Source organism: Homo sapiens, chromosome 1 (genome assembly GCF_000001405.40).
Source record: "Homo sapiens chromosome 1, GRCh38.p14 Primary Assembly".
Classification (NCBI taxonomy): domain Eukaryota; kingdom Metazoa; phylum Chordata; class Mammalia; order Primates; family Hominidae; genus Homo; species Homo sapiens.
The window spans coordinates 198,734,628-198,758,919 of NC_000001.11; the positions used below are offsets into that span (position 1 = coordinate 198,734,628).

Consider the following 24,292-nt stretch of genomic DNA (forward strand, 5'->3'; position numbering starts at 1 on the left):
AAATTTCAATGCTTCTGATTAATTGCTAGACTCTTAACTTGATTCCTGTTTCTTTGCAGTATTGTTATAAGTTCAGTATATTTCACTGTTTTAACTTCACAAGACCTTAATACTCGAAACAAAACTGACCTTGGGCAGATAGGTGGTGAGTCATGTAATGTGACTTTAGGAATAAAAGCCTCTCTGTCCCCCTACCTAAAATTAACCACAAGCAATCATATCCTTTTTGCTGACAACTGATTATGTCCTCTCTTAACATGCATCTAAGCCTGGAAAGATCATCCTGCTAAAAAGTATGAAGGAAATTCTTCAGGACACATTAGTGGGAAATAGAATATATTTCAAGCATCACAGCTTAAGGTTTATATGTGCTTAAACTATACAACTGTTTTGAGAATTTCAAATGAGTATAGGTTTTGTTTTCACTGTTTAAAGAAAGTTTGATAAAAAATTGGCTTAAATTAAAAATTAAAATACTTAATAATTTTTTAAAATGTAGAACAAGTGTGCAGAATACTGGCCGTCAATGGAAGAGGGCACTCGGGCTTTTGGAGATGTTGTTGTAAAGATCAACCAGCACAAAAGATGTCCAGATTACATCATTCAGAAATTGAACATTGTAAATGTGAGTTTGCTTTTTACATAATTTTTGTTTTGATACTTTTTTATAAAAATATAATTATGGAATATTAAAAGTGAGAAAATAAAATATATCAGGAAAAATTATTTTTGATAACCTTTAGGATGAAAGCTGTGGTTAGAACAATGACAAAAATCAATAGGGTCAAATTTAAGTCACTGGTCAAGACGTTTTTGTCCAACTCAAATCGAAAGAATTATACTGTATTAATTAATTATCTGTTTTAATTATTAAAAAAAGAGGGAAGGTCCATTAAATGTGTTGAAAATATAATCAAATTATTAAAAGAATAAGCAATTTGTCTTCATTGTCAGTGAGTTCCTACTTTTATGAAAAAAAATTATATTATTTCCATAAGAGAAATGACAGCATTAGAGAACACTGTAAGAAGTATAAAGTTCTAACTATGCAGCAGAGATAGAATGTTTAGTTCAGAAAATAAGGAGGTCATTGTGGCCTTAGATAATAGTTAAAATAGAGATCGTCATGCATGTTATATAATTCCATTATATGAAAAATCCACAATAGGCAAGTCAATAAAGACAGAAAGTAGATCAGTGGTTGCCTGGAGCTGAGGAGGTCAAACAGAAATGGGGAGTGGCTGCAAATAAGAACAGGCTTTCATTTTGTGATGGTGAAAATGTTCTATAATTAGATATTGGTGATGGTTGTACTATTTAGTGAATGTAATATGAATACCAAATTGTACATTTTAAACTGGTGAACTTTATGGTATGTAAAATGTGTATCTCTTATTTCCAACAAATGAATTTTATTTTTAATTTTTTGGGGTACATGGTAGGTGTGTATATTCATGGGGTAAATGAGATGTTTTGATTGAGGCATACAATGCATAACAATCACATCAGGGTAAATGGGGCATCCATCATCCCAAGCATTTATCTTTTCTTTGTGTTACAAACAACCCAGTTATACTCTTTTGGTTATTTTGAAATGTATAATAAATTATTGTTGAATAGTCACCCTGTTGTGCTATCAAATACAAGGTCTTATTCATTTTATCTAATTATATTTTTGTACACATTAACCATCACCATTTCCACCCCTGCCATACCCTTCCAATCCTTTGGTAACCATCATTCTACTCTGTATATCCAAGAGTTCAGTTATTTTAAATTTTGGCTCCCACAAATAAGTAACAACATATGAAGTTTGTATTTCTGTGTCTGGCTTATTTCACTTAACGTAAGTCCTCCAGGTCCATCCATGTTGTTGCAAATGACTAGATCTTACCCCTTTTTATGGCTGAATAATACTTCATTGTATATATGTACTACATTTTGTTTATCCATTCATCAGTCAACTGATGCTTAGGTTGTTTCCAAAAGTTGACTACTATGAATAGTGCTCCAATAAACGTGGGAGTGCAGATTATCTCTTCAATCTACTGTTTCCTTTCTTTGCGGTATATACCTAGCAGTGGGATTGCTGGATCATATGGTAGTGCTATTTTTAGTTTTTTTGAGAAACCTCCAAACAGTTCTACATAGTTGTTGTACTAATTTACTTTCTCACCAACATTGTCTGAGGGTTTTCTTTCCTTCACATCCTTGCAAGCATTCATTCTTGGCTATCTTTTATATATAAGTTGTTATAACTGGAGCATAGTGATAACTTAATGTAGTTTTGATTTGCATTTCTCTGATAGTAAATAATGTTGACCACCTTTTTATTTATCTGTTTACCATTTGTATGTCTTCTTTTGAGAAATGTCTATTCAGATCTTTTGCCTATTTAAAAATCAGATTATTAGATTTTTCATTATAAAGTTCTGTAAGCTTCTTATGTATTCTGGATATTAATGCTTTGTCAGATGGATAGTTGGCAAATATTTTCCCTCATTCTGTGGCTTGTCTCTTCACTTTGTTGATTGTTTTCTTTGCTATACAGAAGCTTTCTAACTTGATGTAATTCTACTTGTTCATTTTTGCTATGGTTGCCTGTGCTTGTGGGGTATTGTTGAATAAAACTTTGCACAAACCAATGCCCTGGAGAGTTTCCCCAACATTTTCTTTTAGTAGTTTCATAGATTAAGGTCTTAGATCTAAGTCTAATCCATTTTTTTTATTTAATGTTTGTATACAGCAAGAGATAGGGCTTTAGTTTCATTCTTCCACATATGAATATCCAGTTTTCACAGTACAATCTATTGTGGAGACTGTCCTTTCCCCAATGCATATTCTGGGTACCTGTATCAAAAATGAGTCCACTGTAGAGTTGTTTCATTGCTCTATGTATGTTTTTATGCCAGTACCATGCTGTTCTGGTTACTATAGCTCTGAAGTATAATTTCAAATTAGGTATTGTGATTCCTCTAGTTTTGTTCTTTTCACTCAGGATGGCTTTGGCTATTCTGGGTCTTTTGTGGTTTCATATAAATATTAGGATTATTTTTTCTATTTGTAAAGAACATTATTGGTATTTTGATAGATATTGCATTGAATCTGTAGATAGTTTTGAGTAGTATGGACATTTTAATAATACTGAGTCTTTCAATTCATGAACATGGAATAGCTTTCCATTTTTTATGTCCTCTTCAATTTCTTGCATCAATGTTTCATAGTTTTCATTGTAGAGATCTTTCACTTCTTTGGTTAAGTTTATTCCTAGGTATTTATGTTGTTTTTATCTATTGCAAACGAGATTACTTTCTTGATTTCTTTTTCAGATTGTTCAATGTTAGCATATAAAAACACTGCTTGTTTTAATGTTGATTTTATATCTCATGACCTTACTGAATTTGTTAATCAGTTCTAATAGTTTTTTGGTGGAGTATTTAGGTTTTTCCAAATATAAGATAATGGAATGTGCAAACAAGTATAATTGGACTTCTTCCTTTCCAATTTGGATGCCTTGTGTTTCTTTCTCTTGTCTGATGGCTCTAGCTGGGACTTCCAGTTGAACAACAGTGGTGAAAGTGGGCATCCTTGTCTTTATCCAGATCTTAGAAGAAAGGCTTTCAGTTTTTTCTCATTTAATATGATGCTAGCTGTGGGTGTGTCATATATGACTTTCATTCTGTTGAGGTATATTCCTTCGTTACCCTGTTTTTTGAGGTTTCTTATTATGAAGAGATGTTGAATTTTATGGCATAATTTTTCAGCATCAATTGAAATGATCATGTCTTTTGTCCTTCATTCTGTTGATATAATGTATCACAATAATTGATTTGTGTATGTTGAACCATCCTTGCATCCCTTGGATAAATGCCACTTGATCAGGATGAATGATCTTTTTAAAGTGTTGTTGAATTCAGTTTGCTAGTATTTTGTTGAGGATTTTTGCATCAGTATTCATCAGGGATATTGACCGGTAGTTTTCTTTTTTTTGATGTGTCTTTGTCTGGTTTTGGTATCAGAGTAATACTGGCCTTGCAGAATGAGTTTGGAAGAATTCCTTTCTCTTCCATTTTTTGGAATAGTTAGAGTAGAATTGGTACTAGTTCTTCTTTAAATGTTTGGTAAAATGTGGTAGTGAAGCCATTAGGTCCCGGGCTTTTCTTTGCTGGGAAACTTTTCATGACAACCTCCGTTTCATTACTTGTTGTCTGTTCAGGTTTTGGGTACCAAAAATAATGGCAACAACAACTTTTCAAGACATGGAGAGCAAAATAACACATGAATTGAAACAAGAAAATGGCAAAATGTGGAGGAATGAAGTTAAAATATAGCATTTTCATTATATTACACTTTGCTTGTTAGTTTGTTTACACAATGTCTGTTGTCTTCAGTGTAAAATAATGCATTATAAGATATGATAACCCCAAATCCAAAAGCATTCAACAGATACATAAAAATAAAAAGCAAGAAATTAAAACAGACCACCAGAGAAAATCACCTTCACTTAAAGGAAGACAGGAAGAAAAGAAAGAAGGAAGAGGAGGCCACAAAACAACCATAAAAGACATAACAAAATGGCAGGAGTAAGTCTTTATTTATCAGTAATAACATTGAATATCAGTAGACTAAACTCTCTAAACAAAATACATAGAGTGGCTGAATAGATATTAATAAAACAAGACCCAACAATCTGTTGCTTACAAGAAACATTCTTCACCTGTAAAGACACAAATAGACTTAAAATAAGAGATGGAAAATTATATTCTTTGTAAATGGAAACCTAAAAAGAGAAGGAGTACCTATACTTATATAACACAGGTATATTTCAACACAAAAACTAATAAAAGAGACACCGATTGTCTCTACATAATGATAAAGGAGTCAATTCAGCAAGAGGATATAACAATTGTAAATATATATGCAACTAATACTGGAGCACACAGATATATAAAGCAAATATTGTTAGAGCTAAAGAGAGAGATAGACTCCAATACAATAATAGTTGGAGACTTCAACACTCTACTTTCAGCATTAGGCAGATCACCCAGGAAGAAAATCAACAAAGAAACATTGGTCTTAATGTGCATTGTAGACCAAATGAACCTAATAGACATTTATAGAACACTTCAACCAATGGCTGAAGAATACACATTCTTCTCCTCAGCCCATGGATCATTCTCAGGGACATACCTTATGTTATGCTACAAAACAAGTCTTACAAAATTAAAAAAAAATTATATAAACTTTTCTTTGACTACAGTAGAACTAGAAATCAATAACAAGAATAAGTTTGGAAACTATACAAACTCATGGAGAGTGAACAATATATTCCTCAATGACCACTGATTCAATGAGGAAATCACTAAGGAAATTTTAAAATTTTTCAAAACAAATGAAAATGGAAACACAACAAACCAAATCCTGTGTGATACAGTGAAAGCAGTACTAAGAGAAAAGTTTGTAAGAGTAAGCACCTACATTAAAAAAGAAAAATTTCAAATAAACAACATAATGATACATTTCAAAGAACTAGAAAAGCAAGAGCAAACTGAACTGTAAATTAGAAGAAAAAATAATAAAGATCAAAGTAGAAATAAATGAAACTGAAATAAAAAAATACAAAGCATCAATGAAATAAAATGTTGTTTTTAAAAAGAGAAAATTGACAGGCCAGGTGCAGTGGCTCATGCCTGTAATCCCAGTACTTTAAGAGGACAAGTCGGGTGTATCATTTGAGGTCAGGAGTTTGAGACCAGCCTGGCCAATATGGTGAAACCCCGTCTCTACTAAAAATACAAAAAAATATTAGCCAGGTGTGGTGGCATGCACCTGTAATCCCAGTTACTTGGGAGACTGAGGCAGTAGAATCACTTGAACCTGGGAAGCCGAGGTTGCAGTGAGCCAAGATTGCATCATTACACTCAAGCCTGGGCTTTGCAGTGAGACTTTATCTCAAAAAAAAAGATAAAATTGACAAACCTTTAGTCAGACTAAGGAAAAAAGAGTGGAGACTCAAATGCGTACAGTCAGAGATGAAAAAAGAGACATTGCCACTGATACTTCAGAAATTTAAAAGATTATGAGATGCTACTATGAGCAGTTATATGCTAATGAATTGGAAAACTTAGAAGAAATGGATAAATTCCTAGATACATGCAACCTATCAAGATTGTAAAATGTCTCTTGATAGAGCTGTTTAAAAAACTACAAGTCTTTACATGGGGGTTAAGATTTTCTCTTAATTTCATTTATTGTAGGGCTTTTAGTAATCTAAATTTTATTTTTGTATAGTCTAGCTATATTTTCTACAGGAGAAACAGACTTAGTCTATATATCTCCGTAGGTCTTCTTAGGTTTCCATGGTATTACTAATTGTTATGTCTATAGAGTGCTGTGAAACAATCCTATCAATAGTTTCTGGCCAAACACTTGTTTGACTAAGCCACAAAGGCACCTGCTCCATAGATATGAGGATATATTTCTAGATTGATGCCTATCTGGCTACATTCTGTAGTCTGGGTTTACTGGTGTTAATTAACTCAGTTTGTGTGTTTCTTTTGTTATCTAAATGTAGATGGTTCTTTATACCTGGCCATAGAATTATGACTTATGCATCTTATGGTGGTTACCTTGAAATTAGAACAAACCTGAGCTCTAATCTGGGGCTGACTTTCCTCAGTCGTCTCTCTACATTCTGTGTTGACAATGCTACCATGTGAAGGCCTAAGGAATACAATGTTCATCAAATAATTAATCAGACTTTGCTCACATATGAATTAGTTCTGTTTGCTGGCCTATCAAGCAGAAGTATTTTAAACAGTTGTGAGAATGACCTTTACCAAATCATTTTAAACACAAATCCAAAAAGCTTCCACCCATGCACCCCACTTTTATGGTGTATGTTTATTTTGGGTTTTTTTTGCTTGACAGCATGCAAGTTCCTAGAAATTTTGGTTATACTTTTAAAGAAAGTATTACCTTACTTACCTTACTGTTAAGTTATTGCTTACAGGGTAGTACATGCAAGTCCTGCACAATATCTTAACTACTAGTTATTGATTAGAAAGGAAAACACAACCATGGTTGAGAAAATATATAAGACACCTGAGGAAACTATGAACTCTTTTGAGTAGTTTATGTTTACACGAGGAGACTTTGTACTGGTACTCCCTTCCACTTATTTATGTTTCATAGTTTGCTTTAAAAAAATCATCTCAAAGAAAATATTATCTCTTGACTAGAAAAAAGAAAAAGCAACTGGAAGAGAGGTGACTCACATTCAGTTCACCAGCTGGCCAGACCACGGGGTGCCTGAGGATCCTCACTTGCTCCTCAAACTGAGAAGGAGAGTGAATGCCTTCAGCAATTTCTTCAGTGGTCCCATTGTGGTGCACTGCAGGTAGGAAAAACGAACAAAAAAAAAAAACAACAACAAAAAAACTCCAACAGAATCCACCTGCCTAGGGCTGTTAGAGACATCTTTCCCTTTGGCAATTGCTATTTTGGGAAACAACCTATGGGAGAAGCTTAGATTCTTATATTGGCTTCACACCTGACAGCTTTTCCATGATCATGCCTCTGCTTTTTTTTGCTTGGTTTGCCAGTGCTGGTGTTGGGCGCACAGGAACCTATATCGGAATTGATGCCATGCTAGAAGGCCTGGAAGCCGAGAACAAAGTGGATGTTTATGGTTATGTTGTCAAGCTAAGGCGACAGAGATGCCTGATGGTTCAAGTAGAGGTATGTTCTAACCTTTAGTGATTATTCTCACTTTGGTTTTTTGGACTTAAATCTTTTCCAAGTGATAATAATGATATTTTTTAAAAATCCAAATTCTTCACAACCTCAAACAGTAGATGATTTCCTGAAAACTAAAACGTGGTAATCACCAGAAATACTTAGAAGCATTTTTCATTAGTGCCTAAAAGTACTGTGGAAGAAAGATGACCACAAAATATATAATTTTTAAAATAATGAACTACTGTTAACATATATCAGATTGGCAAAAAAAGTAAAAATGCTGAAAATAGATTTGGCATCATCTCATAAAATTAAACTGAAGAGACAGAATAGTATAGTAATCAACAGCTGGTTTTAGAAACTACACTTACAGGTTTCAAATCTTGCTTTTAATTATTAATACGAGGGTGAGTGGTATTGTTTATTAAGTAATTTTAGTCTGACTGCACCTCAGTTAAGTCATCTGTAAAATGGAGACAATGATAATACCTCACAGACTTATAACCACAAAAGTAATACAAATAAAGCACTTAAACAAGTCCCTGGCCCATGCTATGCATTTGGTGATTGTAAGTGATGGTAATTACTGAAAATGTCTGTATTTGACCCAGCAAAATCACATATATGCATATACCCAAGAGAAGCATCAACTAGAAACATTTGCAAGAATGTGCATTGCATTCAGCATTGTCAAAATAGCAAAAAAAAAAAAAAAAAAAAAGTGAAATACATATCAATGAAAGAATGGAAACACCGTAAATATGTATCAATAGGGGAATAGGAAGACAAAATGTGGACATGTGAACTCTCTGTACAACAAATGCTATGTTGTGGTAGAAAGCAATGATCTAGGTTTGTGTCTGTCTGTTTGGAGAGATGCTCAGATGAAAACAATGAGTGAGTAAAGCTGCCATACGAAACATTCAAGATATAATTTATGTGATTTAAAAAAAACATGAAAATGTACAATGCTTGTGATTACAGATACATAGATAGCAGTGTAGAAACATAAAAACAAATTGTTAACCAGGTAAAAAGAAATTATTTACAGTGGAAAATAAAGTACAGTGGAAAGACAGTGCCAAACTCAGGGAACTAAAGGTGGCGGTTAAAGAGGATTATCAGAAGTATACCATTTCCTTGAAAATACTGGATTCAAACAAAATAAGCAGTAAAGAGTAGTTAAATCTGGGTTTGGCCCATTGGATTACAAAAAAATAATTTTCTTATTAAAAGAATACTTTTCTTATTTTAAGTTCTAAAAACTATAAAAAAAGGTTTTCTAAGGAATAACAACTTGCTTTTTTATCTCTTGAATATACTGTGAAATTTATTATAGTTTTACATTCAGTAATTTGGCTTACTGACCCAATAATCACTAAAGGAAGTAACATACAATGTTCTTTAGTTTTTAGGAATAAAAGTTGTGCAATACAGAGTACATGGATAATCTATTTGCAAAGTAATTCTTTTCTGAAAAAATAATCTGAAAATAGAATTTGCTCATATTCCAGAAAACTCTGAGAGTGAACTTCCAGAATATTTAAATATTATAGATATCAATTTACTTTGCCATGAATTGTTCCAATATGAGCAAATTTATGGGGAATGTATATTTTATTTAAATATGACTTGGAGGACTCTAGATTATCAGTTAACTATCTGTATTTGTTCTTGAAATTGTAGGCCCAGTACATCTTGATCCATCAGGCTTTGGTGGAATACAATCAGTTTGGAGAAACAGAAGTGAATTTGTCTGAATTACATCCATATCTACATAACATGAAGAAAAGGGATCCACCCAGTGAGCCGTCTCCACTAGAGGCTGAATTCCAGGTAATGATAGTGACAACAATAATAATAATTACAGATAACTTTTATTCAGTGTCATCTACTTTCTAGGTGTTTGCTATGCACTTGACATAGTGCTTGCATTTAGTCTTCACCAGAACCAAAGGAGCACAGATGAGAAAACTAGGACACAGTGAGTTAAGAGAAATGCCTGAATCTACACAACTATTACATAGGAGATTTCTTTAGACCCAGAAATCTGATTCTATTGCTAATACTTTTAGCCATTCCTCATTAAGCTGGTATAAAATGAAGTGTCAAAATAATAGTATATAGCCACAAAACTGGTCTGCCAAAGGCAATACAGCATATCACCTTTAAAAATCGTATCTGGTTTTGGTTTGTAAAGGAAATCATTAGAAGAGTTTATGACTGCTTAGGAAGTTGAACTGGCTGGAGCTGGTAGACACACAGTAAAGGATAAGTACATGTGTCTTAACCTATTTATTAGGCAATTATTCTCACAGCTAACCTAGCATGTAGTTCACTATAATTTCAGAGAGTTTGCATAGCTGTCCTCAAATTGCTCAGTTGTCAAAAAAATGTTTTGTGTTTTTTTTGTTCCACCTATGATTTCCAGGTTACTGAGTCATTCCATAATCTACCAAACTGGTAAATTCAGAGTTTCTAAAGACCAGGAGTGTGCTTTTAATCACATGCAGAACCATTTAATGTTTAGGATCAAAGTGGGGTTAAGGTGGGGGTGGAGGTGGAGCATGCAATAATGACCAAGTGACTCAATCCCCCAGAAGACCTGTACTTATAATGGAAGAACTAGCAGACACAGGGTAGTCTCAAACAGAGTAGTGTTTTATTGTTGTTTTCTTGCTTTTCTAGCTGATAAATTAACCTTATTCAATATACCTGCCCTACTAATCCACATAAACACATAAGCTGTTAGAGACAGTTATACATTTAAGTTAAACATTCTTATGAATGTTTATTTACTATAGAAAAGACAGACAATTTTTTTCACTAAATAAATGTGCTTGAGTTTCTGCTATGTGCCAAGTACAATTCTAGGCACAAGAGTCAAAATGATCTGCAAGTGGACATGGGAAGAAGGATGAGAGGATGTGATCCAGATCACAGATGGAAGCTGTGAAATTATTCCATTTAAGCAGACAGTAAGACAGAAGATGAGAGTAGAAATGCAAGTCGGTTGGTAAATTTGGTATTGGGAAGTTGAGGCAGCTCTTGCCTGATGATCTTTCATTTTTCAAGAAAATGTGAGGCTAGGTCATCAGTTGAGAGTTGAGAGATACAAGGGCGAGTAGGGCAAAGAAGAGCTCAATGCTTGAAGGGTATAAACTAGTTACCTCAAAGTATAAAAACAATCTCCCTAGGCAGAGGCAGTAAGATTGCCAGAAGTTATCATTTGATCACCTGAAATTTATGATTATAAGTTTAAAGAGGAATTAGTCAGTTGGTTGTATTGTTTTCTATGGCAGCATTGAGCTCTTTGGGGGTAGAGGCTGTGTATGCAGATAGTTGAGTTAAACCTATCTAGGTTTTGAAAAGTGACTATTTGAAAATAGTGAGGCAAACGAGTTGAGGGTGTTTACAAATGAATGATGACTGAGGTGGAAAATAAAAAGCAAATTGGCCACATGAGGGAGGTGAGAGAAAGTAGTAAGGATAATAAGTTGGAGACTTTGATAGAATTACAGATTGCTAGGTTGAACATATCAGAATAAATGACTAGGAATAATAGGGGTAATTTTCAATAGCACAGATAGTTGAACTTATGATTTTAGAGGTGATGTAATATTTGGAATGAAACCTACAAAGGTGGAATGATGAAAGTGGATGACTGGGAAGTGGAGGGAAAGTCATGGGAGGTGAAGAAGCTAAGAAATGAAGAGACTAGAGTCTTGGATAGATTATTCTTGTCAATGTTGAATTAACCAAAAATGATGACAGACCTTGGAAAGAAGAGAATATACTTAGCCAAGCCTAAAACTAAATGAGGTGGAGTGATTCAGAAATCAATACCTGACACTTCCCAGTGAAGCCGGTGGATAGAAGCTAGTATAGTATGATGGCAGGAATATCAAAGTGCTTGGTTGATTTGAAAGCAAATGAGTAGAAATGGTTTGCAAGTAGAATCAGGGATCAAGGAGAACACGTATCTTTTCTTGAAGCTGTGAGGTAAATGGGGTGTGAGGAGGAAAGTCAACTTTTTCTTAAAAGGGCTGCTGAGTTATTGGTGGTGTCCTTAGCTGACATCCAGGTTTTAATTGGTGGAAAGAAAAAAAAAAGGGTGAAGTGACTGTTGGGAGAAGATGATTAAGATAAATGGGAGTTCACAGATGACAGACGATGGGCATCAGAGGGCAGGGAGGAAGGCACTGATGGGTTAGATGTAAGAGACTGGGTTGTATCTGAGGATACAAATAACCATTCAGGAATAAAAATCTGGGGAATGTGGATGCACTGGGAAGCTTAGACTTGTGATGGCAAGTGAAACAGGTAGAGATTTAAGAGTGACAGATCCTTTGTGTCTTAGATGAAGGTGAGCCATTAATTCCACCTATAATCCTGAGTATTGCTACAGGGCATAGGCTGCCTCGGTGACTACACTCACAAGAGCACAAGGTGTTGTAACAGTTTCCAAAACATCTGGTCCTTCATGCAGCTCATGGTGGTGTTCAAGTGGCCTAAAATTCAGTGATGATATTTTCTTTCACTCAATTACGTAGCAAAGAATGAGGTTTGAAACAGGGTGCCATAATTAGTTTGAATGAGGGTACTATGCTGAAAAAATATATGTCTATATACACACACGTATCTACATGCGTGTGTGTGTATATAAAATCTTACCGAATTGTACATGAGGAGCCTTCTCAGTTTCAGTTATTTGTAACATTATCTATTATCATTAAATATTATTCACTTGACAAATACTTATTTAAGGACTAGTGGAAAGACTGTAGGCAGGGGTGTCTTCCAGAAGAAATTGGTATTTAAACTGATACCTAGAGGGTAAGAAAAGTTATTAGAGCAACCAAAAGGGGAAAGGGTAGTTCAAGCAAGAAAAAAAAAAAAAAGTGTTTATGTGCCAAGAGTTGAAGAACAGCTTGGCCCTTCCAAGAATTGAGGAAGCTGGTTTGGTAGAAGTATTGAGGGACCCAGTAAGGTGTAAGGCTGGAGAAACAGTCAGGGGCGTATCAATAAAGACTTTTTATGCTATTTTGAGGAGGTTTGTTGTCCTCTTATAGTGATGGAAAGCTGTTCATCTTCAGAAGAGCATCTTCTGTTTTGTGTTTTAGAAGGATTAGAGCAGGCGAGATTGAAGACAAAGAGGCCAGTTAGGAAATTGTTGATGTTTTACAAGCGAGAAATGAAGGCAGACTGGATTAAGTAGGAAGAAAGAAAACTAAAAGGATTTGTGTATAGAAATGATGGATCTTTTCTGACTAATTAGGAACTGTGGGTGAGAGGAAAGCAATCTGGAAGGTGTAAACAAATTAAGAATGAACTTTCAAAACATGTGCCAAGTCTCCTAAGAATGTGTTGTCTCCAAAGTTTATTTCTGATCATTTAAAATAACTTACCATTGCTTTTGCAATATAGATCAACATCGGTCTAGTGGTTTCAATTTATATAAGAACAAACTATATTATTTTTCTATCAAGCAGCTCTGAAGAAGGAGACATAGTCTGTTACATATATATCTTTAGTGCATACTAGCCCTGTCAAAAGGACTAAATGCCTGAGCAATTTAAAGAAAAAAAATCAGAGGCAAACCGAAAAATTATGGCCTATAGGGAGCATATGCAAATTTCACAAAAATTAATGAAATGCTTTTCCTTAGGGAGCATCTTATGATGCAATAAGCCAATATTTACATTTTAAAGGAGTTTTTCTGTTTTTTTTTTTTTTTTCAGAGACTTCCTTCATATAGGAGCTGGAGGACACAGCACATTGGAAATCAAGAAGAAAATAAAAGTAAAAACAGGAATTCTAATGTCATCCCATGTATGTAGTTTATTTTTTTATTTTTTGTATCAGATAAAGTTAAGCTCTTTTGGATTTGTTTAATGTGGGACACACAGTCATATAAATTATCTTGAAGCAAGTTTTCAACATTTGGTTGTTAATAGGGAAGAAGTTACTAGGTATTAAAATACTAGTTATTGCAAGAACTTATAATCCTGAACATTTACAATGGGCTTTGGAGGGTAGACTGTATTCAGTGTTTTCTTTTTACCAATTATTTCAGAAATGGGTTGTCATAAAAGAGAAATATATAAAGCTGGGAGAAAAAAGAGCAAGTCTCTTTTACCCATTTTCTTTCATTTTTAGTTTATTTCAGTTATTTACTCCAGGGTAATTGACAAATAGTAAAAATTACATCCATTTGTTCTCTATATGTTTCCTTTTTATCCCTTATAACTGGGAGGTTGAAAGTAAGGGGAAAATACTCTATAAATTCTAAATCTTCAAATTTAACAGATCAAAATATGCACAGTTTCAATACTTGAATTCTACTATTTAAGCATATTAAAATGATCACATATGGTAATTTTATTCAGCTGCATAAACTAAAATTAGCATGGATAAAATATAACACAAGTTGATAAATTAGATGACCAAATAAATCAGATCAGTGCATGGTTGACCTAGTTAATTTTCATAGGAGTCCTTATGAATGTAGTTTAAAATATGGAATTGATGGTGATATGGTTAATCAAATCATTTGACCAAGTTATTATAAATTATAGAAATTAAGAAACAGTGAGAAATTATAGGTCAAATAATTTTCTGGGCTAAATAATTAATCAAAGCTACCCATATAAGATTGTTAATTTAATATTACTGGAGTATAATTGAGGGAAAAAATCTACGCTATGTATTTTGTAAACTTATATCAAGCAGAATTATAATAGTCCATGGGAAATTAAAGTATATGTATCAAAGATTAAATAATCATATATAATGATATGATATCTCTTTGTTGTTTGACATGGAATTATGTTCCATGTTTTTTCCTGGAATCCTTTTTCTTAGACTTTTGTTGTATAATTTGTTTATCGACAAGTACTGAATTTTATATAGGATCTTATTTCATGTAGATCAGTAAGTTTTCATAATACAATCTGTCCCTTTTTAAATACTTTCAAATTTCCACATGACAATGAAGAAGAAATTTAATTTTTTCAAGGAAGACTTACTACTGATTTATTTCACATAGATGACTATAACAGAGTGCCACTTAAACATGAGCTGGAAATGAGTAAAGAGAGTGAGCATGATTCAGATGAATCCTCTGATGATGACAGTGATTCAGAGGAACCAAGCAAATACATCAATGCATCTTTTATAATGGTAGGTACTTAAATTGCCAAAACCCAAGATCCAAACATTTTAAAATAATATCTATGTTATTAGGGCCATTCATTAAGCGATTTTATAAAAGAATAATGAGCTTGGTCATAACTACATATAGATTGACATGAGAGTTTCAATTTCAATGCTACAATTTAACTTAATGAAAGATTTAAAAATACTATAACCTAATAACCTGAGACAAAATAAGATAATGCTATTGGTTATATTTTATGACAAATATAGCTATAATCACATCAATTTTAAAAATAGTAAAATTTGAGCAAATACAAGTATTTGAAAATGTTTATACATACTCAGATACCCAAATTGTAGGCAATGACAAATTTGTATATTTGTATGGTTAGAAACTTTTCATTCAGATAAACTGAATTATTAGGTGAGTCTGTGTCATATCCCCCCACTTTTTTAATTAACTGAGAATTCAAACAATGAAACTTTAGTCATTTATTAAATATTTATTATTTATACACTGTTGGATTTACTTATTTTCCAAAGTTTCCTAAAGCACACATTCATAGAATATTAGTTTAATTAGGAAATATAATAAGAATGTAAAGACACTAATTAAAATTAGTATAGACACGATGAAGGTAATTTGAAATGCTTAAGTAATTCCTTTTTACAATCACATTAACCTTTATAGAGAAACAAAAATGTGTGTCTTTTGTGGAAAGGAAAATTTGTTTCGCAAGATATGTTGTAATCTTGATTTCACATTATTAGCTAAGAATTACTATTATCTGTATAATTATTTTACATATAGCTATTACATTGTTTCTTGTAAGAAACATAAGAATATTACTATTTGTATGTAACAGCATTGATATCAAACTGACTATATTTCCAAATGGTTACTTTAAGAATCTACTGAGCTCTCTTCTGTAGTAACGAAGTCCCACCCTTTTTTTGTCTAAAAAGAGCTACTGGAAACCTGAAGTGATGATTGCTGCTCAGGGACCACTGAAGGAGACCATTGGTGACTTTTGGCAGATGATCTTCCAAAGAAAAGTCAAAGTTATTGTTATGCTGACAGAACTGAAACATGGAGACCAGGTTTGTACTTTTGAGGATTTTCTTTTAAGCCTTTCTGTCATAAAACGTCATTCTCTAGTCTTGGATTGCTTGCTTCATCGCCATACCCACGTCTTTTTTTATCCCTCCATCACATAATTCTGTCTGCTCAGTCTTACCCCTTTCACCCTGGTGTTGGCCTCCATCAGCTGTGTCTGGATTCTGACAGTCTCTCCTGTTTGTCCCCTCCAGTCTTGCATGCTGCTCACAGATTAGCCAGGATGCAGCAATGTCAGCGTCACAGCAAATAACAGCTACATTTTCACGCTGTTTTCCTCATTTTCTCAAGATAAAAGCCAAGATCTTTTTGTGATATCCAGCACCCTGGACAATCACCCCCTCATGTGTCTTTCATCTTCCTCCCATTTTTATGTTTTCCATCCTCTCCACTCTGGACAAGCAGGTTTCATGCCCAAGCCTAAACACGCCATTTGCATTGTCATCACTGAGTCTAAACTTATTGATATTCCATGTAACTAAATGTGTGCTGTCTTCCAGTTTTGACCCTATTCTTTTAACAAGACCAAACTCCTGAAAAATGTATCTATATCATCCTTTCTTTATTCCCATATAATATTTATTGCCATAAAAGTCTATAGTTGAAGGTGAATCTAAGCTATAATTTGATTTTTTTACTTAATGCTTGTGACAGATATTTTATCCTTTTCTTAATGTCTTCAGTTATTATTAAAATTTCCCTGGTGGTAGATCTCACTCAGCTTTAGCACCAACCACATTATCTGACATATGTTCAAGCCTATTCAGTGAATAACCTTATAAGTATGCAAAAGATTTATGCTTTTTTATGCCCCTCTCTCTCCCCTAAATCTCACTCTTTCTCACCCTCACCTGGTCCCCTTCCCCTGTACATGGAAAGTTGCTTTTTATGTTTTTTGTTTTAAAGGAATATAAGTCCAGATTTCTAGCATGGAATTCCCACAATCCTTTCCTTCATATAAATTGTGAAAGCTGGGAAACAGGATGGAAGTACCGGCAGGACTCCCTGTCTTTGTCAGAAATTGTGGGGTTGTAGTTGGTAGACAACAGTTTGTAGTAAGAAGAAACACTTTTGTGGTTCATCTACTCTTCAATCTGGCCCTTTCCTTAGCTATGTAGACAAAATATATAAAGCTGCTTATGGTGTTGGTCAACAAGATGACAGAGACAAAGCTCCAAAAGATGCAGCCTCCTTCCTCAAGAACCACTGAAGGGACAGTGGGACCTGAGTTATTGAAAGGGTCATGAATAACATTGACTCATGCCAGCCATAAATATTGAAGAGGTCATGATAAGCATGTGGAAAAGAGGAGCAAACCTCAAAGACCTACACTAAGGAAAACAGCTGTTCCGGGGGTGTCCCAGTCACCTCGATTGTGCTCAGCTTCCCTTTTCTTACACAAGGAAACACCACATATTTATTAAATGGGTCGCCAGCACTTAAATAGATTCTGGATTTTTATAAGTAGGTTTCAATTTTAGAACACAATAATTTTCATTTAATAGAAAAGAGGCACAGACAGAGAAAGAAAGGGAGAAAGAGGGAGACTGATCCTTTGCATATTTCAAATAGGAAACAAATTGTTGAATTGTCTTCTTTTATCTAGGAAATCTGTGCTCAGTACTGGGGAGAAGGAAAGCAAACATATGGAGATATTGAAGTTGACCTGAAAGACACAGACAAATCTTCAACTTATACCCTTCGTGTCTTTGAACTGAGACATTCCAAGGTATGGAAACAATTTGGGGAGTATATTTCTTTGATATAATGGATCTGGTAGCAAAATGAATATAAATTACTCTATGCAGGCAAGGCCATCATATAAATAATGTTTCAGAATAACATTTTAAAATTATTTAAATAGAAGTAACTGTGAAGAAAATATGACTATCAAATTAGAAAATAAGCTGAACTTCACTCCAGTTAATGCTCTCTTCAATTCTGATTTTAGAGGAAAGACTCTCGAACTGTGTACCAGTACCAATATACAAACTGGAGTGTGGAGCAGCTTCCTGCAGAACCCAAGGAATTAATCTCTATGATTCAGGTCGTCAAACAAAAACTTCCCCAGAAGAATTCCTCTGAAGGGAACAAGCATCACAAGAGTACACCTCTACTCATTCACTGCAGGTGCGTGGGATTTGGTAGAATGTGCTCTCAAAATCATAATGCTTGACTTCTCGGTTCACATGTTGTCTTATCTAGTTATCCTCATATATGAAACACATAACCACAGTAAAAACTTCTTATGGAGTCGGTCACTCTCTTGGTTGTTTCCACAACACAACTATTGTAGAAATATAATAGAAGTGATTATATTATAGTGCAATAATTTTAAGTTGTGTTTTTTAATACTTGGTGTCATGTCATCTTTGATTCCTTGGTAGCTAACATTGAGCCAGGAATGTCATTTGTGTGAATGAATTAATGAATGGAAGGGTGTGTGAACAGATAGGTAGATGGGTATCACCTTACACATATACCCATATACATTGATCTACTCTATTAGGTGTCACAAAGACACCTAATATGTTTAATGAACACAAAGTTTATTAAACATATTTTAAGTTAAATATTAACTGAAATCACAAAGCTTAGCAATTTTGATTTGAAACTCATTATTTAATTTTCTAAACTGAACCAAAGGCAAAGATTGTGGTAATATCAATAATACTACTAGATTTTATTAGTTTCTTCATCTGTGATAGGTGCTTACATATTCACCTTAAATAAGCAATATAATTGAAAGAAAGATATATAATATAAAAGTTTACATGAAAAAGAATATTGAAGTAAATGAGAAACGAAAAATAGTAAAGTAAAATGAGAAATGTTTATCTAGTGAAAAACTTTTGGAATTTTTGAAAAAGTCTAATTGTTATTATTGGAATTGCATATACTAGAATCAAGCCTTAAGAAATATATGAATTTTCAGCATTTATGTGGAAAGAAAGCTGAGGAAGGGAAGTTTACACTGTAAAACTATATATGTTTCTTAGAATATGATTTATGTACAATAACTAAAGTGTCCTGCTGATAACATATTGTTTAAATTGAATCTTTATGATAATGCTTTATACTTCTCATTGTTTGGTAAACTATTTGATTGCCCTCTTTTTAGTGAATAATTCTACTAGGTATTACTTTTCTACTGATGCAGAAGTGAAAACATTTGTGAAACGTGGTAGAGAGGCAGAAGAGTGAAGAAGAGCATGTGTTCTAGTAATTTACAAAATATTAGGTCTAATATTTCTGATTACATCAGCTTTCTCTTCTCCAAATCTTGGTTTCCTTATCTATCATACTGGCATTCTGATATTGGTTTCAACAACTTCAGATGTAAATAAAAATGCATTAAAATCCATAAAATACTAAATAAAAGAAAATATATTTGTAAAGTCGAAGACAAATAAGTTTTCAATTCCAGGATTATCACACTCTTAAATTGAAAAATTTGCCTAAAAATGCATTTAGCGTAAATAATTTGGTTCTTGAAAGAGGTTGGAATAAGATAATTATGATAAACATGAAGCAAAAAATATATTCTCTCTCTTCCTGTTTTTATTCTAATATCACCCTTTTTGGTGAGAAGTAGGATTATTTTCTATCTTTTCTTTCTTTTATAGGGATGGATCTCAGCAAACGGGAATATTTTGTGCTTTGTTAAATCTCTTAGAAAGTGCGGAAACAGAAGAGGTAGTGGATATTTTTCAAGTGGTAAAAGCTCTACGCAAAGCTAGGCCAGGCATGGTTTCCACATTCGTAAGTATCCTTCACCATTGCTTTTAACATGCTCGGAATTTTTTTTTTCTTTTTGACGGTTTCCTTTTTTCTTTTCTCCTCTCCTTTCCTCTCGTTTGTTCTTTTTTCCCCTTTCCTTTTCTCTTCTCTATTTTCTTTCCTATTCTTTTAGCTTTTCTACTTTTACATGATAATTCACATTAAATTATTATAAGTCTAAATAAGAGCCTAAAGTTTACTAGCACTTTGTTGTGACAGTTCATGAAGAGCCTTTCCCTAAATGCTCATGAATTTCTTAATTTTCTTTCCTTCACTCCTGTATCGATTTGTGTTGTGTAACAAACCACCCCCAAATTTGGGAGCCTAAACAAATAACATTTATTATGGTTCAGTAGTCTAATGATATGCTGGAATGTTCTGCTGGTGCCCTCAGGCTCAGGCAATAGAGACCAGGCTGACTCATGTGTCTGCCTTCAGCTGATGTGTGCCCTACAGTTTGGCTGGTCTAAAGTGACCTACACTGCCAGTAGGCTGGCATGTGGCTGCCATTTAGCTATGGCAACAACAGTGAGTGGGCCACATGTCCCTCCTCATCCAGAAGACTAGCCCAGGCCTATTCACATTAAAGCAGCAAGTTCCACAAGGGAAAGAAGACTTGTGTGAGACCACTTGAGGCCCAGGCTTAAAAGTGACACACATGTCTTCTTCTGTATGTTATTAGCCAAATAAATAAGTCATAAAGCCTGCCCAGATTCAAGGGGTAGGGAAATAGACTCCACTTCTTGAGAGGGCCTGCAAATTCACATTGCAAAGAAATGTGGATACAGGAAGGAAAATAAGTTTTATATTCTTGTAATCGATCTATCGTGTATACCCTCTATGTGGTAGTAACTGTAGATGGTCATCTGGGAATTAATCCTTATTCACAGTGTAAACTTAATTACTCACTAAAATATATAAAGCTTTTAATCATGTATGATATTGAGATTTCATATCTTGGTACTTAAAAATGTATCAAATGCTTGCTATGTGCTCTTGCTATAAAGAGCTAATTGGTATGAGGGAAAGCCAGGTATTTACTAATCAATGTAGTGAGTAAAATGACAGAAAAATTATAAGAAGAACATGAATGAGGGCATTTAATTTAAACTTTAGGAATCAAGAAACGCTTCTCGAAGCAGTGATTCCTGCCCTGATTCTTAAATAATGTGTAGGCATTAGACAGGAGGATAAGTACAAAACGTGGCATCATGAGCAAAGGCATGGAAATGGCCCATGAGCGGAGTGAACACTGGTTTGGGGTTGCTCCAAGGTAAAGTTCAAAAAGTATCCTGCAGTCAACCCTTTAGCACCATAAAGAAACTAAATTATTTAGATGTTTTTATGAGAACATATCAAAAAGTACTTTTCTGTCATCCAATACTTCCACAAATAAATCATTAGTTCTTGCTAATCTTCATCTGGCATAAAAATAATGACATCAACTTTCTTCATGTAATTTCCCACTTAATTCCTTTACTAGGAGCAATATCAATTCCTATATGACGTCATTGCCAGCACCTACCCTGCTCAGAATGGACAAGTAAAGAAAAACAACCATCAAGAAGATAAAATTGAATTTGATAATGAAGTGGACAAAGTAAAGCAGGATGCTAATTGTGTTAATCCACTTGGTGCCCCAGAAAAGCTCCCTGAAGCAAAGGAACAGGCTGAAGGTTCTGAACCCACGAGTGGCACTGAGGGGCCAGAACATTCTGTCAATGGTCCTGCAAGTCCAGCTTTAAATCAAGGTTCATAGGAAAAGACATAAATGAGGAAACTCCAAACCTCCTGTTAGCTGTTATTTCTATTTTTGTAGAAGTAGGAAGTGAAAATAGGTATACAGTGGATTAATTAAATGCAGCGAACCAATATTTGTAGAAGGGTTATATTTTACTACTGTGGAAAAATATTTAAGATAGTTTTGCCAGAACAGTTTGTACAGACGTATGCTTATTTTAAAATTTTATCTCTTATTCAGTAAAAAACAACTTCTTTGTAATCGTTATGTGTGTATATGTATGTGTGTATGGGTGTGTGTTTGTGTGAGAGACAGAGAAAGAGAGAGAATTCTTTCAAGTGAATCTAAAAGCTTTTGCTTTTCCTTTGTTTTTATGAAGAAAAAATACATTTTATATTAGAAGTGTTAACTTAGCTTGAAGGATCTGTTTTTAAAAATCATAAACTGTGTGCAGACTCAATAAAATCATGTACATTTCTGAAATGACCTCAAGATGTCCTCCTTGTTCTACTCATATATATCTATCTTATATAGTTTACTATTTTACTTCTAGAGATAGTACATAAAGGTGGTATGTGTGTGTATGCTACTACAAAAAAGTTGTTAACTAAATTAACATTGGGAAATCTTATATTCCATATATTAGCATTTAGTCCAATGTCTTTTTAAGCTTATTTAATTAAAAAATTTCCAGTGAGCTTATCATGCTGTCTTTACATGGGGTTTTCAATTTTGCATGCTCGATTATTCCCTGTACAATATTTAAAATTTATTGCTTGATACTTTTGACAACAAATTAGGTTTTGTACAATTGAACTTAAATAAATGTCATTAAAATAAATAAATGCAATATGTATTAATATTCATTGTATAAAAATAGAAGAATACAAACATATTTGTTAAATATTTACATATGAAATTTAATATAGCTATTTTTATGGAATTTTTCATTGATATGAAAAATATGATATTGCATATGCATAGTTCCCATGTTAAATCCCATTCATAACTTTCATTAAAGCATTTACTTTGAATTTCTCCAATGCTTAGAATGTTTTTACCAGGAATGGATGTCGCTAATCATAATAAAATTCAACCATTATTTTTTTCTTGTTTATAATACATTGTGTTATATGTTCAAATATGAAATGTGTATGCACCTATTGAAATATGTTTAATGCATTTATTAACATTTGCAGGACACTTTTACAGGCCCCAATTATCCAATAGTCTAATAATTGTTTAAGATCTAGAAAAAAAAAATCAAGAATAGTGGTATTTTTCATGAAGTAATAAAAACTCGTTTTGGTGAATTCTGTAATAGCTTATCATGAAGGTCAAACACAACCTTTAGATTGGTTTGGTTTTCTATATCTTTACTCTTTTGTCTGATTTTATATGTCTTAACTATACAGCACCGATTATTGTCCATTCAACTCACATTTATTTTGTGTCCCTACTTCTAATTATTTCACTATTGTAACATATAAAATTAACAATTAACCCTTATAGTAGTATATAGATCCTTGTGCTTATTTAACAGATGAAAAGAAGTAAATTTTACAATGAAGCCACAGTTTCTAATTTATATTAAGGTTACTTATTACATCTTTACTTATTAATGAGAAAAGGGGATTAGAATCACCAATTATGGGCACAAAAAATAAAGTTTGCTTTCACTTACCTCTTCAGTCACTCAAACTATTATGCATTCTTTTCTTTTATTGAAACTTGATCAGTTGCCATTTTCTAGATAATGTAGTTAAAATTTGCAGTTCTCATGTTCAATAGAACATTATGATGTATGCCTACTTTATCTGTTAATTGCTTCAAAATACAAATAGCAGAAAGTCTAAATAATCTACAAGCAAAGTTTTTCTTCAGAAGTTTCAATTGCAAGTAACATCTTCCAAATGTAGTTGTGTGTTTTAAATGTGTTTTCCACCTGACACTATCTTTTGAAAGATTAAAAACTACTTAGAAAATAGAGCAATAATAATTTCTATTAGTTTAAGAATCAAGCTTGAGACTTTTTTTCTACATATGGGAATTTGTTGTAAAGAAAGAGATGAAATAGTGGCTCAGAAAGCCCACTACTTTGTGAGAACATATACTAAACCGAAGGTGAGACCCATGGCACTAGAACATGGAATTATATGTCTATGATTTTTACCTGTAGAAAGAAATAATATGTGAATTATAGGTCTATGTCTATGGCCATGGGTTGCATTAATGGGGATCTGTTACAAGGTATAAAAGATTTATTTGCTAAAGTTTGGCACTGCCATTATTAATTCTAGGATCCAGTCAGAAATATTAAGCAAAAAGTTTTGACTTACAAAAGCCTGGTACACTGTAGGGATAATGTTATGAATCCAGAACATTACATTTATTGGGCAAAAAGAAACTTCTAGGTTTCTTTTAAAGTTGTTTGCTTTATTCCTGGTATTAGAATTCAATGGGAATAAAAGATACATTTAGTAAGCCTAAACTTCAGGTCCCAAGCTATTAATTGTGTACATAAGTGACAAATAAATATTTTCATTTAAGAGATATATATATTTTAATATTTTCTTGCAAGAGGAAAACTGTGTAAAGTGATTAGCTGAACATCTGTCTTTGCAAAGATAATTTTAAATGCGTTAAGCTTCCCCTCAGAATTCTTATATTTGTACAGAGAAATTTTCCTGTTTTTTTCCCTCTAAAATATTAAACATAAAATTTATTTTTACAACTAACTAGGACTGATCTTAATT

At 33.3% G+C, this 24,292-nt stretch overlaps 1 protein-coding gene across 11 annotated transcripts in view; it reads left to right on the plus strand.

Annotated features, from left to right (window-relative positions):
* PTPRC (protein tyrosine phosphatase receptor type C) overlaps nucleotides 1-22,849 on the plus strand; it is a 118,764-nt gene extending 95,915 nt beyond the window's left edge. For all 11 annotated transcript variants that reach the window (XM_047426381.1, XM_047426398.1, XM_047426409.1 and 8 more), the window contains 11 exons: nucleotides 500-625; nucleotides 7,242-7,399; nucleotides 7,605-7,740; nucleotides 9,427-9,576; nucleotides 13,482-13,572; nucleotides 14,789-14,922; nucleotides 15,865-15,999; nucleotides 17,622-17,744; nucleotides 17,967-18,145; nucleotides 19,642-19,777; nucleotides 21,279-22,849. In XM_047426381.1, coding sequence (XP_047282337.1) covers nucleotides 500-625; nucleotides 7,242-7,399; nucleotides 7,605-7,740; nucleotides 9,427-9,576; nucleotides 13,482-13,572; nucleotides 14,789-14,922; nucleotides 15,865-15,999; nucleotides 17,622-17,744; nucleotides 17,967-18,145; nucleotides 19,642-19,777; nucleotides 21,279-21,554 — 1,644 coding nt within the window. In that variant the 3' untranslated portion in view covers nucleotides 21,555-22,849. The remainder of the gene's footprint in view (nucleotides 1-499; nucleotides 626-7,241; nucleotides 7,400-7,604; nucleotides 7,741-9,426; nucleotides 9,577-13,481; nucleotides 13,573-14,788; nucleotides 14,923-15,864; nucleotides 16,000-17,621; nucleotides 17,745-17,966; nucleotides 18,146-19,641; nucleotides 19,778-21,278) is intronic.